The sequence below is a fragment of the Homo sapiens genome, chromosome 11 (assembly GCF_000001405.40).
Source record: "Homo sapiens chromosome 11, GRCh38.p14 Primary Assembly".
Taxonomy (NCBI): Eukaryota; Metazoa; Chordata; class Mammalia; order Primates; family Hominidae; genus Homo; species Homo sapiens.
Window position 1 is genome coordinate 6,558,437 of NC_000011.10, and position 15,437 is coordinate 6,573,873.

Consider the following 15,437-nt stretch of genomic DNA (forward strand, 5'->3'; position numbering starts at 1 on the left):
GGCAAGCAAAGGTAAAGGGGAGGACATTAGCTGAGCCCTGGCCCACAGGTTCCACCAGCAAGTGTGCAGCCACCTTCACCTGTTCTTCCTGATTGGAGATAAACAGGCCCACAAGCAGCTGCCCTCCACCCTTTTCCTGAGGCTCCTTCAACTGGCCACTGCCAGCATTGACCGCTATGAACCCTGGGACCAAGCTGCCCTGGCCAAGGTGGCCCAGCATCACCTGGAGGGTGCTCAGAGTGTGCCCCTTGATGACGGTAAGCCCTTTTTACTTGTCCTTACCACTCATCTCTACCAGGCTCTAATGAGGGTTATTACCTAGGTCAGTCTCTCTCTCTCCCTCTCTAGAGCCTACAGAGCCCCCTTCACATTTCCTACCCTTCTTCCTGAGCTAGGAGAGGATCCCTTTCCTTTCCTGTTTTCCTACAAGCTCACAGAGTGAGGCTAAAGCCATGCCCATTGCAGGCTCCTGGAAGTACCCAGACCTCCAGGCCTCAATTCCCAGTGTGGCCAAAGCCATGGCTCTTATCCACCTTTCGGCCACCCACTACCATGAGCACCTGTGCCCTGCATTGCCACTCGTCACCCCCAAGACCTTCCTAGACTTCCTGGACACTTTCCTGATGCTGCAGCAACAGACAATCCTGAAGATTAAGAACAAGGCCCAGCGGTGAGTGTCCCGTCCCCTGCAGTGTACCTCCTTCTGCTCCTTTGGGTTTCCTCACCAGCACATTGTATCTCCAGGGTCCAGAATGCCTTGGAGAATCTGAGAATGCTGATTAAGGAGCACGGTACCCATGCCAATCTGATCTTTGACTTGGAACAGCAGCTGAAAGACTCCGGCAAGGTAAGGAGATGATTTTGAGGCTTCCATGGTGGTGTCAAAGCAGGAGCCCAAAGGGGACTTGAAAGGAAGCAACCAGAATGAACCTTAATTCTTGTCCCCCTAAGCTTCCCCTTTCCCTAGGAAATCTCTCTGATCTCCGCTGCCTCCTCCTTTACAGCTTAGGTTCAAAAGTTTCCCATGATACAGCTAAGACCAGATTGATTCTTCATAACAGGTGAAACCCAAGCATCTGCTTCTGGCTGCCCCTAGTACCATGATCATGTGAAGTTCAGTATGCTGCCAAGATCTCTGTAGATTCCCATGGGGGTTGGGGCAGGCATTACATCTCAGTCACCACTCACTCACCTCTTAGAGTTATCCTCTTTTTCCATAACACTTTGTCCCCATACCCTTTCTTCCACAAAAGCAACAAACAAAACTGTTGTATACAGTGAGGACATGTAGATGGGTGATGGCAGCAGGGAGAAATTTGTATTATGGCATAGAACCAGAAGTAAATTTATAATGGTATACTAGACAAGAGTGTCCTGAATTGTCTTACTCACCCTCCTCTACCAGGCATTTTCCAGTGACCAACTTTTCCTTTCCTCTCTCGTCTCTCTAACACCTGCTCTACAATGTTTTTGAGCCGTCCCATTTTTCCTTTAGCGCTCCCTTCTAGTTGAAACCTCAAAACCTTTTGCTGTCATACAGAACAATCTTATTCTTTGAATAAACAAACTTCTTATATCTGGCTAAAATTGGTGATGATAGGGCTTATCACACCTTCTAAAGCCAAATACTCCTAGTTAAAGGTGTCTTCCCAAACTAAAGAGCAGTTTTGTTTTTAATAAGAAGAATTCTAAAATAGCACCTTTTTTTCCTACTACACAAGATGTTGATAAATATTCTGGTATAACTTCAGAGCAGTGAACTAGTGCCCATCTCACACTCAGATAATCTTTCTACTAGGGTTTCAGGTCTTAAGCTCCTAATACCTAGCCAGCTCTTCTGATAAGTGCCTTTAGGACTATCATCCAGTGCCACACAACTCCAGAGACATGGCATATGTCGTGTCTACTAATATGGTTTTCACTGTGTTTTACATAAATGGTATCCCCTGGAGTTTTAAAGGTACTGGTGCCCTCCTACTATTCACCACCTAGGATGAACAGCTTAGATTAGACCTCAAGACTCAGTTAAGTTGCAAAGAAAGAAAAGAAAGTCAGAGAGCAACAGAAATCCCCTTTCCCAGTTTTTTGCCCTACATTTTCCCAAGATGATTAATACCAGGATTGTTGATCTGGTTTAGGGGTCCTAGTATTCCTTGATCTGTGAGTCAGTTACACCAGAGCAGAACACAGTAAGCCAAAGGTCTGGATAAGAGATGTTCGTAGTCTCAGGGTCATTCAGAGTCAGATCCCTTGGTCGTTCATTCAATAGCCATAATAGTGTGTACTTCTTCCAGTGTTCCCCACCCCAAGAAAAGGCATTACCACCCACTGAGCCAAATCCCAGGACTCATTCTGGGCCCCTCCATCTCTTTACTCTCTTATATTTAACTGGTTAATTTTTTCATTATTGCACTCAACAAAAATTTATTTTTTGTTCAGGCATTTCTTAATATTTATGTCTATGTCAATATATGCCTACATTTACATCTAGATGGATGGATAGATAGATAGATGATAGAATCCTTGCCCACACCTTTCTGAGGTAGCTATTCTTTTCTCACTTTACAGATGAGAAAACAAAGATCCAGAAAGGTTAGGGAGACTTCCCTAACCTTATAAGGTTGTGATGAGGATTAAACAAGATCTTACATGTCAAGTATTTAAATGTGCTGGCACATAGAGCTCAATAAATGTTAGTTACTATTAATATTAGGTTAGGCCAGGCACAGTGGCTCATGCCTGTAATCCCAGCACTTTGGAAGGCCACTGCCAATGGATCACTTGAGCCCAGGAGTTCAAGACCAGCCTGGGCAACACAGCAAAACACTGTCTCTACAAAAAATTACTCAGGCATGGTAGCACCTATCTGTAGTTCCAGCTACTCAGGAGTCTGAGGTGGGAGGATCACCTGAGCCTGGGAGGTTGAAGCTGCAGTGAGAAATGATTGCACCACTGCACTCCAGCTTGGGTGACATAGTGAGACCTTGTCTCCAAAAAAGAAAAAAAAGAAAAAAATAGGTTAGATTGCTTCCTAATAAGAGGAGATAGGGCACTATCCTTACCTTCATGGTGCTTATAGTTTAGCAGAAGATAAGAAGATATAGACTCATCCAGGCAATGACAAAACCGTGTTATAACAGAGTAAGTTCAGAGCACTCCAAATATCAAGAAAAACTTTCTAGAGAAAGCAGAGTGCCCCGCTGTGCAGCACAGAGCGTGTATATAACATGGTAGGAGCTCAAAAACATTCACTAACTGTATAAACAAATGAATGAAGTACATGACAGTTGATGCCTGAAAGTTAGGTCAGATCTGATCAGTGTTTGAAAGGGGCCAAGTGACAGAATGTCCCAGGTTGATATAACAGCATGTGAAAGGCCTAGAGGCAAAAGAGTGTGTGCCACATTGGAGGAACTGAAAGTCAGGAATGGCTGGAAAGTAGCGTGCTAGGAGAGAGAAAAGAGATGAGATTGAAATGATGAGTAGGGGCCTGGTCATGGGGGTATTGTCAATCAAATGTAGAAGTGACAAGTGTTAATGACAATGATTCAGTTTTTAGAAAACCAGCCAGGCTGCAGTGGGGGAATAAAAGGAGGGAAGTAAGAGTGGAAACTGAGAGACCAGTTAGGAGGCCAGTGTAGAAGGTCGGGAGTGAGAGGGCCTGAGCATGAGTGACTGACATTGGGAAGGGCAGTGGACACGAGAGGCATTTAGGAGGTAGAATTGAAAGGTCTCAAAGATGGGCTGGATTTGGGGGGATTCAGGAGATGGAGCCAAGGGTAACAACTCAGTTTGTTCCTTGGGAATCTTGCCACCATTCTCTGAGAAAAAGAATACACAGGAGAGGAGTCAGATTGCAGGAGAGCTGAGGACGCATAACCAATACATTCATTTGGGGACATGTGGAGTCTGAGGGGCCTGTGAGACCCCCAAGGGAAGATTTCCACTAGGCAAATGAATACACGGTATGGGGCAGGGAGGGAACCTAGCTAGAGAGAGAGATTTGGCAGTTGGAACGTAAGTAGGAATCAAAGCCATGAGATTAGGGAGGGCATTTAGAAGTGTAGAGTGAGAAGAGAAAGGAGGCTCTGAAAAAATTGATGAGGAATAGTTAAGGGCTGACAGAGGAAGAGAATGAGAAAGAGCAGCCAGAGAAGTTAGAGAAAGCCCAAGGAGAACACAGTATCATGAAGGCCAAGAGAGGAGGATGCCTCAAGAGGGAGGGAACTGTCTTCTGTGACAACTGCTGCTAATGGGTCAACTAAAATATAGAGTAGTGTAACATAACTGTTACACGCATAGTCTTCGGGTGAAGCGGCTGCAGAAAAAGCAACCACACACTTGGGGCTGCGTTACTAGATATATAACTCACAGACTAATAAGTGACAGACCCAGAGCTCAGCCTCTCTCTGTGGCCTACTTGGAGTTCAACGTGGTCAGTCTTTCAAGTGAGGAGTGTGCTACAGTTCCAGGATCATAGGGTCTTCTGGGGTTTCCCGCGTGGCCCAAGATCTGGAGCTGCAGGGCCTGGATCTGTCTCTGCAGAGTCTCAGCATGTTTCAGCAGCAGCTAGAGCAAAGCAAGCTCCTATACAAGCAGCAGCTGGAAGAGTGTCGGCATCAAGAGAACCTCATTGAGAACCTGGCCAGGCAACGGGATGCCCTGCAAGCTCAGCGAGAGGCTTTCCTGGAGCAGGTGGGCTCTTCCTGCCGCCTGCCCTGCACTGCTCCTCTCTCAAAAGAGGGCAACCCCTCTAAGGATACCAAGAGGAGAGGATGGAGTGACTCATCATGGAATCTCCTGGGGGGAGGGGACAAAGGTAATAGGATGGCTTGGGGAGTGGCCTCTCATGGGGACTCCAAGGAGATGATTCCCCTAAAAACACCTTGAAGGAAGAACAGAACATCTCAGGAGCTCACTTCAGAGGGTATCTCTCCTCATTTAGATGAGCAAGGCATTTCTGGAGCCTCTGAGCCAGCTGCAGGTGGCTGACTTTGAGGAGATACGGAGCTATCGAGCACCACCAGAATCTGTGGTCCGGGTAACTGATGCAATGTGTGACTTGTTCCACCATGAAACAGGCTGGGCCAGTGCCAAACAGCTGTTATGCACTGAGGATTTTTATCAGGTAGGAAGGGTGGAGCACAATGAAGGAGGATAGGGGAGGCATAAAGGGACACTTGGCAAGGCTAAACTGTTGGGTCAAGGTCCAGAGCATCCGTGGCTTCCCCATCCCGTTAACATACATCCTTCCAGGAGCTGGTGTTCTTCCCCAAGGAGAAGATAACAGACTCAGAGCTGATAAAGTTACATCTAATTCTGAAGGCTCCAGGTATGGACGATGCAGCCCTGCGGGCAGTGAGCCGACCTGCAGCCAGCCTGGCAGCCTGGCTCTGGGCTGTTCTGCACTATGGGCTGGCGCATTGCCGGGGACTGCCCACGGACCTGCTGCTGCAGCAAGTGGAGGCAACACTCACTCGGGAGCAGGCCCGCCTGGGCTACTACCAGTTTCAGGCCCAGGAGACCCTGGAGCATAATTTGGCCCTGGCTAAGATGGTGGAGGATGCCCAAGCTTCCCACAACTGCGTGGCAAAGACCCTCAGTCAAGCACAGTGTGGGCAGTATCACAAATGGCCCATGAAGGCTGCACTGCTCACGCCTATGCGTGCCTGGACTACACAGCTCCAGGTAACCATCCCCCTCCCAGATGTCTCCCCCAAAGTTCCTTTTATGCCGTTCGCCTGCTCCTCCCTGTGCCCTCACTGCCTCCCTCTGTCCCTCTCTGCACTCCTTGCCGTACTTTCCTCCACACCCCACCTTGCCCTCCCTCTGCCATATCTCTGCCTGCACCCTCCTCACTGGCCTACACAGCCTCTGGTCTTCCCTTCCACTCCAGAAGCTGAAGGGACGCTGCATGACTGTGTTTGGAGATACCCTCCTATGTTCAGCTGCCATCATCTACCTGGGTCCCTTCCCACCATTGCGGCGCCAAGAGCTACTGGACGAGTGGTTAGCTCTGTGTAGGGGCTTTCAGGAGGCTCTGGGCCCAGATGATGTGGCACAGGCACTGAAGCGGAAGCAAAAATCTGTCAGCATACCACCAAAGAACCCCCTGCTGGCTACACACTCTCCCTTCAGTATTCTGTCCTTGCTGAGCTCTGAATCGGAGCAGTACCAGTGGGATGGAAACCTGAAGCCACAGGCAAAGTCGGCCCACCTGGCAGGCTTGCTTCTGCGAAGCCCCACACACTACAGTAGTTGCCGTTGGCCTCTGCTGCTTGACCCCAGCAACGAGGCCCTCATCTGGTTGGACCCGCTGCCTCTGGAAGAGAATCGATCTTTTGCGCCAGCCCTCACTGAGGGTAGAGGTAAGCAGGCATAATAAATGCAATGCTTCCGGAGTATCTGAACTGCCCAACACTCAGCCTCATGTGGTCTTTCCCTTCATAATGAGGACACTGTATTTTTGTGATCAGGATGTCCCAGATTTCACCAGCCTATACTATAGGAACAAATTTGGTCACATTTATTTTTTCTCTTTATTACAATGATTCTGAATCTACATGACTGATTGGTCCATGATCTTCCACTTCCCTGGTCTACTCAGCACTACCCAAATTTATCCAATGTTCAGAAATCCTGGGGAATATTTCTGTTGGCTCTGTTTGGATCGGGGACCCATCTGGGTGGAGTATTGGAAGGAACATTTTCTAGGAAAAGGAATAGAGTGTTTATTCCCCAGAAGAAGAGGCTGGGGATTGAGTTTGTGAGAAAAATGTGACCTTATTTGGAAAGGGGTCCTTTCAGATGTAATTAAGTTAAGGACTTTGAATGAGATCACCCTGATTCTTATCCGGATGGGCCCTAAATCCTGCAAGTGCCCTTACAAGAGGCAGAAGAAAAGGCATAGAAAATACAGAAGAGAGGCTATGTGAAGACAGAGGATGAATAGGATCCCTCCCTGGAATTTTAGAGTAATAATTGTGATAGCCAACATTTATTGAGTGCTCACTACGTGCACATCTAAGTGTTTTCTATGTATCATTTCATTTAATCTTCACAGTAACCCTATGAGGTCGCCACTAATATCAACCCCATTTTGCAGATAAGAAAATTGAGTCATAGAGAGCTTAAGCAACTTTCCTAAGATGTCTTCCTGCAGACCTTCCCTCATGAAATGGAGCCCTTCAGTGAATTCCTCCCCTAAGGAGTCTGATTCCTCCCCTAAGAAGAGCTCCTCTGAATCTTTCTGCCCCAGGGAAAGGCCTCATGAGAAATCAAAAGAGAGAGAGTAAAACGGACATGAAAGAGGAAGATGATGAGAGTGAAGAGAGTAATGAGGCTGAGGACCAGACAAAAGAGCAGAAGGCAGAGGAAAGAAAAAATGAGCAGGAGAAAGAGCAAGAGGAAAATGAAGAGAAAGAGGAGGAGAAGACAGAGAGCCAGGGGTCAAAGCCAGCCTATGAGACTCAGCTTCCATCCCTTCCCTACCTTAGTGTTCTTTCAGGTGCTGACCCAGAGCTGGGTTCTCAGCTCCAGGAGGCAGCTGCTTGTGGTGAGAGCTGGTCCCCACCCACCCTGGCCCCTTTTTGACTTGCCCCATTCTGTGACCCCACAGGCCTCCCACACCTCAGTCTAACTTCAGTTCCCATCCTTCATCCCAGGCACTAACTATATTGAAGCGTCTTGTGGGAACCCTCCTATCAGCCACAGGGAAGCTGGTCAGAGCCAGACCTCGTGCCTGGGGAATGGGGATCATGGGTGCTGGCATTGTGGGTAGGGTGCCTTTGCCTCCCTCTCACAGGCCTGCCTGTGTTACTGACCAATGTGGAGCTGGGTCTAGGGTGCGAAGAACTGCAATGGCTGCTGCAACGGGAGCAGCTGAGTCCACCCCAGGTGCAGCCTGGCTTCTGTCTGTATCTCAGCACCACCCTCTCCCTCTGTGCCATGGAAAAAGGTGAGGCCCAGAGGGCAAATTGCCAGCACAGTTGTGTGGACACACTAGGCCCTCAGCACCAGCCCTAAGAGGGCTTCACTCAACCTGGCCCAGAGCAGGCACAGGTCTATAGCAGGGAGCCATACTCCCTGTCTACTCTACCCCCTGGCTCTGCCAAGGGGAAGAGGTTAAGCATCTCCCATGTTACCCCAAGTGCTAGGTTGTGAACTGCTAAAGGGGCTGAATGTGTTGGATCTGGGCCTGAACATGGAAATACTGGAAGAACAGATGCTGCATGAAATCTTGTGCAGAGAGTATCCTGAACTCGAGACCCGCTGGCAGGACCTAAAGATCAGAGCCCTAGATACCTGCAAGGCTGTGGAGGCTGCTGAGGTGCTTGGGGGCTCAGTCTGTGGGTTGAGATGAGCATTGGATGGACCTGGGTAAGGGGGTGGAGATGAATGTAGATGTTTGGGGTCTGTGGGAAAGGGCCAGATCCATCCAACAAATGAGTGTATGCAGGAGCGGCTGCTGACGATGCTGCTGTTCCAGAATCCGAAGCGTCAGAAGCCAGCCAAGTTTCTGCGGAACATAGTGAGGGCCCAAGGAAAGCTATGCCAGCTGCGTGCTCATTGTGAAGAGTTAGAAGGGCAGAAACTACAGGAGATGGTATTGTGGGCACCCTATCGACCTGTGGTTTGGCATGGAATGGCCATGGTAAAGGCCCTAAGCCAACTGCAGAACCTGCTGCCACTTTTCTGTATGAGCCCAGAGAACTGGCTGGCAGTCACTAAGCAGGCTCTGGACAGCATGAAGCCACGTGAGATTAATCACGGGGAGGACCTGGCCAGCCATCTACTGCAATTGAGAGCACACCTGACCCGCCAGCTGCTGGGCAGCACCGTGACTGCACTGGGCCTTACCCAAGTACCCTTGGTGGGTGCATTGGGCGCTTTGGCTCTGCTGCAAGCAACAGGGAAAGCATCAGAGCTGGAAAGACTGGCACTCTGGCCTGGACTAGCAGCCTCTCCCAGCACAGTCCACAGCAAGCCAGTCTCAGATGTGGCTCGACCGGCCTGGCTTGGGCCAAAAGCCTGGCATGAATGTGAGATGTTAGAGCTGCTGCCCCCATTTGTTGGCCTGTGTGCCTCCCTGGCAGGCCACTCCAGTGCTTGGCAGGCTTACCTGTCACTGTCATCCACAGTGCTGGGTCCTGCACCTGGGCCAGGGCCTGAGCCACTCAGCCTCCTCCAGAAGCTGATCCTGTGGCGCGTTCTGCGACCTGAGTGCCTGGCAGGTGCCCTGGCAGACTTCACCACTAGCCTCCTGGGTCGGCCCCTGGATGAAAACACGTATGCTCCCACCATGCCCTTTAAACATAGTCAGGCTACTCAGCCCATGCTGATCTTGTTGCCACCGCCTGGCCACCCCTCAGCCACTCTGCATCCTCTGACTGTCATCCAGAAACTGGCTGCCAAGTATCAGCAGGTTTGAACCTAGTTTCTTGGCCACAGAGTGACCAGGCTCCTGTGGGCTGGGGCATGGGGGACCCCCTCCAAGCATTTTCATGGATCTTTCTGTACTACGTAGGGACTTTGGGGATCATGGTAGCATTAGTTTGGGTCCCTCGGGTCACCCTAGGATCACTTTGAGTCATGCTGCCATCTCTTTTTTGGTCCCCAGGGGCAGAAGCAACTGCAGGTGATAGCCCTGGGCTCTGAAGCCTGGGACCCAGTCTCAGTTGTGGTCAGCACTCTATCCCAGGCTATGTATGAGGGGCACTGGCTGGTGCTGGACAACTGTCATCTGATGCCCCATTGGCCGAAAGAGCTGCTACAGCTCTTGCTGGAACTGTTAGGCAGAGCCAAGGGTGAGTTTATTGCCTAGATTGGCTTCCAGGATCCTATCCTACACTTGGGCCTTAGCTTGAAATCTCAGGCCTCATGGCCAGTGACCTAGCACCAAACTTGTCCACTTGGCCTTGTATCTGACTCCTGACACCCCTAGCCTCAAGTCTGATTCCTAGACTTCTGCCTGACCCTTTATCCAAGGACTGATCTCAGACCCTTGTCTGACTCTAGTGGTTGCAGACCTGGAATCAGAACAGCTTTTAGACCAACCTGAAAGCAGGAATGTAAGCACTGTTCACAGAGATTTTCGTCTTTGGCTTATTGTGCCTGCAGAGTCTAGTGCTTCTTTGCCAGGTGAGGAGCTTAACCCCCTACAGGCTCTCAAATTGGAAGTGGGAGGGCAACTGTGCTGTGCTGACTCAGCACTCTCCTTCCTCCCCAGCTGTGCTGACTCAGCACTCCATGCCTGTTTTCTGGAACCAGTCCCTGGAGCTGGGCCATGTTTTGATTGACAGTGTGGAGCTAGCCCAGCAAGTACTCTACATGCAACCCCCCACCCAGGCACTACCTCTGCTCCTCCTCCATGGCCTCCTGCTACACCGGCAGCTCTATGGAACAAGGCTGCAGGCACACAGGGGGCGCTGGTGAGGGACCCCCACCCATTCCTGCTCAGTCAATCACTCAACAAACATTGAGTATCTTCCATATGCTGGGATGAGTAAAACTAATTCATCTTTGGAAGCTCCAAAGAGCAAGGGCAAGGGGAAGTCAAGGAAGGCTTCTCCAAAGACTTTGAGATTTTACTTTGAATTGAGTCTTAAAAGCAGAGGCAAATCAGGTAGAGATGGGCCTTTCTGAGCAGAGGGACCTAAACTCAGTAGAAGGGAGGAGACTTGAGTGTGGTTGACGTGGACATGCTGGGTGTTGAGGAGGGAGAAGTAAGGTTCATTATAAAGGGCCTTTAAGACTAGGGCAAGGTAGGCCAGGTACAGTGGCTCATGCCTGTAATCTCAGCACTTTGGGAGGCGAGGCGGATGGATCACGAGGTCAGGAGATCGTGACCATCCTGGCTAACACAGTGAAACCCCATCTGTACTAAAAATACAAAAACTTAGCCAGGCATGGTGGCAGGTGCCTGTAGTCCCAGCTACTTGGGAGGCTGAGGCAGGAGAATGGCGTGAACCTGGGAGGTGGAGCTTGCAGTGAGCCGAGATTGCACCACTGCACTCCAGCCTGGGTGACAGTGCGAGACTCTGTCTCAAAAAAAAAAGACTAGGGCAAGGTGCCTGATTTTATCCTGAAGACAGTGGGAAGCCACTGAAGGGTTTTAAGTAGAAGAAGAAACAATATCCTTTTTGTGTGTTGGAAGGATCACTCTGGATGCAACATGGAGAATGGATCAGAGGAGGCAGGACTGGGGGCAAGCAGAGCAGCTTTAGGAGACTCTGGAAGTCTCCAGGGAAGAGATTGTGGTATGGGTAGTAGGGTAGTAGCCATGGAAGGGATAGAGAATAAATATGGGGTGAAGAGGAAGGAGGTGTCGAGGATGACTCTCAGATTTTTGCTTTAGATAATTGGGTGGCTGGCGGTACCTCTCACTGAAATAGGAGGTGGAACAGGTTTTGTGGGGGGAAATGATGATTTCAGTTGAAAGCAAGTTGTATTTGAGGTGCCAAGTGGCAATGAACCCGAAGCTCAGGAGAGAGGTTTGAACTGAAGACAAGACTTGACAGTCCTCAGCATATAGATGATATGTGAAACCCTGCTTTCCGCTCCCCTTCTCTAGGAGTCAAGTGACTCTAACCCAGGTTCTTCAGACCCAAGACCAGCTGTGGGCAAGTCTTAGCAATCCCCGTGCTGCCATGCAAGAGCTGGCTGGTGAGACCCTTCCTCTCCCCCTTGGAGTCATCAGCCCCCAGGAGAGCCTGGAAGAGGGTGGGGGTGGGATACAATTCACAGCTTTGGTTTTGGCGGTGGTGGAAACTGAAGGTACTGGAACTGAGAGACTCTAACCTCATCTTCAGCTTCAGTTTTCTACGGGGGTCCTCTGGGGGACACTGAGGACAGGGAGGCCCTGATTAGCCTCACACAAGCCTGCCTGAGCCCCAGTAGTGGGAGCTGGGTCCAGCCACACACACCTCAGTCTTTGCTGGCCACGCTCATGCCCCTCCCAGGTAAGCCTCACTCAGGTATCTGTTTTGGGGTAGGGAATAGTGCAATGCAATGCCACCCCCCACAGAAATGTGGACAGCAGTCTCAATAAAGGTATATGAGGGGGTAATATTCATACTGTTATGGGGGTGATGGCAGTAAAGGCTCAGAGGAAGGCCTACTCTCTCGAGTCTAGGGTGGGGAGAGTCCATCTTGTCCCTCACCCCTCACCTCTATCCCCAAGAGCTAAGGGAGCTGGATGCAATGGCAGAGTGCAAGGCCCAGATGCACCTACTGCCCTCACCACCTGAACCCCGGCTCTGCGGACTGAGTGAGGGCCCCCAAGCCTGGCTGTTGCGACGCCAGAGTCGCGCTCTCTTGAGTGCGCTGCAGCGGAGTTCACCCGTGTGGGTTCCTGAGTCTCGAAGAGGCGCCCAGCTTGCGGAAAGGCGACTGCGGCAACGCCTAGTGCAAGTCAACCGGAGGCTGGAGTCACTGCAGGATCTGCTGACCCACGTGATTCGCCAAGACGAGTCCGACGCCCCGTGGTCAGTGCTGGGGCCAAATGCACGGCGGCCTCTGGAGGGCGTCTTAGAGACCGAGGCTCTAGAACTGAGCCAGTTGGTGGGCACGCTACAACGCGACCTTGATTGCCTGTTGCAGCAGCTGAAGGGCGCACCCCCGTGCCCCTCCCGCCGCTGTGCTGCGGTGGCCCACGCTCTCTGGACTGGCCGCCTACCCTTGCCTTGGCGACCTCATGCGCCGGCCGGTCCGCAGCCGCCCTGGCACTGGCTGCGACAGTTGTCGCGCCGTGGGCAACTGTTGGTTCGTTACTTGGGCGTGGGCGCGGACGCGAGCAGTGATGTACCAGAGCGCGTCTTCCACCTGTCAGCCTTTCGCCACCCGCGCCGCCTGCTGCTGGCATTGCGTGGGGAAGCTGCCCTGGACCAGAATGTGCCCAGCTCGAATTTCCCTGGTAGCCGAGGCTCGGTCTCCAGTCAGCTCCAGTATAAACGTCTGGAGATGAACAGCAACCCTCTGCACTTCAGGGTATCTTCGCGCCGCCCCTCGTTCGCGGTTCCAGTCCCCTCGAAGTCTCTAATTACACCTCGCAGTTACCCCTTCTTGGTGATCTTGCCCCCGGTAACCCTGCTAGCTTCTCCGATCTCGCTTCACCACGACCTCCTACCCGCTAACCCCCACTTCCCACCTGCCACCTCCCAGCTTCCTAGCCTTGCCTGACCAGCTTCTGACGCCCCCAGGTGGAGAATGGTCCAAATCCCACGGTTCCAGAGAGAGGGCTGCTGCTGATCGGGCTACAGGTCCTACATGCGGAGTGGGACCCAATAGCTGGAGCCTTGCAGGACAGTCCTTCCAGCCAACCCAGCCCTCTGCCTCCCGTCAGCATCAGCACACAGGCCCCGGGCACCAGTGACCTGCCAGCCCCAGCCGACCTGACTGTGTACTCGTGTCCTGTGTACATGGGAGGGCCCCTTGGCACCGCTAAGCTGCAGAGCAGGAACATCGTGATGCATCTGCCTTTACCCACCAAGCTCACCCCCAACACCTGTGTCCAAAGGAGGGTCCATGTGTGCAGCCCACCCCTGTCTTGAGCCCGTCTACCAAAATAAAGTTGTAGTGATTCCATGAAAGATTTCTGAGATATGGGGGTAGAGTAGGGTGTGTGCACACCAAGAAGGCAGAATGTGACACACTAGGAGAAAGGTACAGTGTGCATAACTGAGAAAAGAGGAGGTATATTCACACCGAAGGTAGAAGAGGGCATGTGCCTGGCAGCCGGGAAGGGGAAAGTGTGGGTACAGTTGGGGTGGGGTGGGACTTGGTGTTAATCATGTATCCAAGAAGCTAGGCAGACCCAGCAGTGGCTGACACACAGAATCCTAAATCCTTGCCCCGCTCTCTACTGTGGTCTCAGCACTTGTGCTAAATCCACAAGGGATATGTTTGAAAGGAGAACATTAGCACTCAAAATTCTTTCTTAAGGCATTTAGTGGTGTTCTTGGCAGTGCCTCAATCCTGCCCTACCACTCATTCCTCTCCTACGATGGATTCTCTCAGTGAGTCATGCATATGAAAAAAGCCAAGTAAGATACAAGGTCCTATGTTCATTCAACAATTATTCATTGAGCATTCCTTGGAACCAGGTATTCTTCTATGTGCTAATAAGGTTATTCTAGTGTAGGGCAACAGGCAATAAAAGGCCAACATATAAATAATTTTGATGATTTTGAAGTCCTATAAAGAAAACAAAATAGACCGATGCGTCAAGAGGGTATGTGATGAGACGGGAGCAGTTAGTATAATCTGAGTGGTCAAGGAAGCTTTCTGCATATTTGAAAGTAGCTATTTAAAGATCTAGAAGGAATATTCATTCAGGTAGAGCCCTCAGTAGGTACAAAAGTCTTGAGGCAGGAACAACCTTGAAGTGTTCAAGAAACAGCGTATGCAGCCAGAGCATGGCGAGTGAGGGGCAGAGCGACCCAAAATGATGGGAACGTATAGAAAGGGGTGGCTCACGTGGCCGTGGTAATGATCTTGTATTTTTCAAAAGTATAATGAGAATGTATTGTCAAATAGTAGGTGGGAGAGTATATGATCTAATTTGCATTTTTTCAAAGGTCACTCTGCCTGTTCTATGGTGGATGGATGCTAGAAAAGCCAGGGTGACAAGGTAGAAGATCTATTTGGACCCAACTGAAGTAATTCAAGTAAGGGATAATGGAGTTTGGGCAAGGGTTTAAATAGAGATGAAGAACTGACAGATTTAAGAACTATTCTGGAGGTAAAACCAGCAGGACTGATGGAATGGATGTGGAGAATAAAGGAAGAGGAAGAATCTAGGGTGATTTGGATTTTAAGCTTGAGAAACTAGGTGTATCATGTGTCATTAACTGAGATGGGAAATTTGAGGGAGCAAGCAGCTGGAGCTAAGGAATCAAGAGTTCTGCTGCTTTGATATTTTCTGTTATTATTAGTTGCATGACTGCCTGCTAGGCCAGGGCGAGCCTGTCCGACAAAAGTTGAGTTAGAGTATGGCAGAACCAAAGGCCTATATGAGCTTCACTCCTTGCCCCCAAGCATCAAAACTTACGTAGTATTAATAAACTCAGCTCCCTTGCTCTATGGCTAGGTACCAGCTACGTGGTGGGAGGAAATGCAAACAGAAGTGTATACAGGCATACTTGAAGCTATTGTGGGTTTGGTTCCAGACCACCACAATAAGGCGAATATTGCAAGTCACATGAACTTTTTGGTTTCCCACTGCATATGGGTTACATTTACACTATATTGTAGTCTATTAAGCATGAAATAGCATTATGTTAAGTTAAAAAAAAAAACAAGGTATACCAGCCTGGCCAACATGGTGAAACCCTGTCTCTACTAAAAATACAAAAATTAGCGAGGTGTGGTGACGGGCACCTGTAATCCAAGCTACTCAGGAGACTGAGGCAGCAGAAGAATCTCTTGAACCCAGGAGG

General features: G+C 50.3%; 1 protein-coding gene across 1 annotated transcript in view, besides 2 other annotated features; it reads left to right on the plus strand.

Annotated features, from left to right (window-relative positions):
• DNHD1 (dynein heavy chain domain 1) overlaps nucleotides 1–13,584 on the plus strand; it is a 74,741-nt gene extending 61,157 nt beyond the window's left edge. Inside the window, exons 26-43 of the mRNA NM_144666.3 lie at nucleotides 49–257; nucleotides 466–670; nucleotides 745–847; nucleotides 4,546–4,695; nucleotides 4,946–5,128; nucleotides 5,257–5,688; nucleotides 5,897–6,368; nucleotides 7,259–7,555; nucleotides 7,805–7,957; nucleotides 8,151–8,329; nucleotides 8,459–9,424; nucleotides 9,620–9,806; nucleotides 10,018–10,140; nucleotides 10,229–10,430; nucleotides 11,573–11,664; nucleotides 11,811–11,960; nucleotides 12,182–12,987; nucleotides 13,200–13,584. Coding sequence (NP_653267.2) covers nucleotides 49–257; nucleotides 466–670; nucleotides 745–847; nucleotides 4,546–4,695; nucleotides 4,946–5,128; nucleotides 5,257–5,688; nucleotides 5,897–6,368; nucleotides 7,259–7,555; nucleotides 7,805–7,957; nucleotides 8,151–8,329; nucleotides 8,459–9,424; nucleotides 9,620–9,806; nucleotides 10,018–10,140; nucleotides 10,229–10,430; nucleotides 11,573–11,664; nucleotides 11,811–11,960; nucleotides 12,182–12,987; nucleotides 13,200–13,550 — 5,260 coding nt within the window. The 3' untranslated portion in view covers nucleotides 13,551–13,584. The remainder of the gene's footprint in view (nucleotides 1–48; nucleotides 258–465; nucleotides 671–744; nucleotides 848–4,545; nucleotides 4,696–4,945; nucleotides 5,129–5,256; nucleotides 5,689–5,896; nucleotides 6,369–7,258; nucleotides 7,556–7,804; nucleotides 7,958–8,150; nucleotides 8,330–8,458; nucleotides 9,425–9,619; nucleotides 9,807–10,017; nucleotides 10,141–10,228; nucleotides 10,431–11,572; nucleotides 11,665–11,810; nucleotides 11,961–12,181; nucleotides 12,988–13,199) is intronic.
• Nucleotides 9,457–10,314: an enhancer, noted in NCBI's record as "H3K27ac-H3K4me1 hESC enhancer chr11:6589123-6589980 (GRCh37/hg19 assembly coordinates)". NCBI's record gives its function as "activates a minimal SCP1, AML or CMV promoter by ChIP-STARR-seq in primed H9 embryonic stem cells {active_cell/tissue: H9 hESC(primed)}" and the evidence as "EXISTENCE:reporter gene assay evidence [ECO:0000049][PMID:30033119]".
• Nucleotides 12,669–13,176: an enhancer, noted in NCBI's record as "H3K27ac-H3K4me1 hESC enhancer chr11:6592335-6592842 (GRCh37/hg19 assembly coordinates)". NCBI's record gives its function as "activates a minimal SCP1, AML or CMV promoter by ChIP-STARR-seq in primed H9 embryonic stem cells {active_cell/tissue: H9 hESC(primed)}" and the evidence as "EXISTENCE:reporter gene assay evidence [ECO:0000049][PMID:30033119]".
• Nucleotides 13,585–15,437: the final 1,853 nt, after the last annotated feature.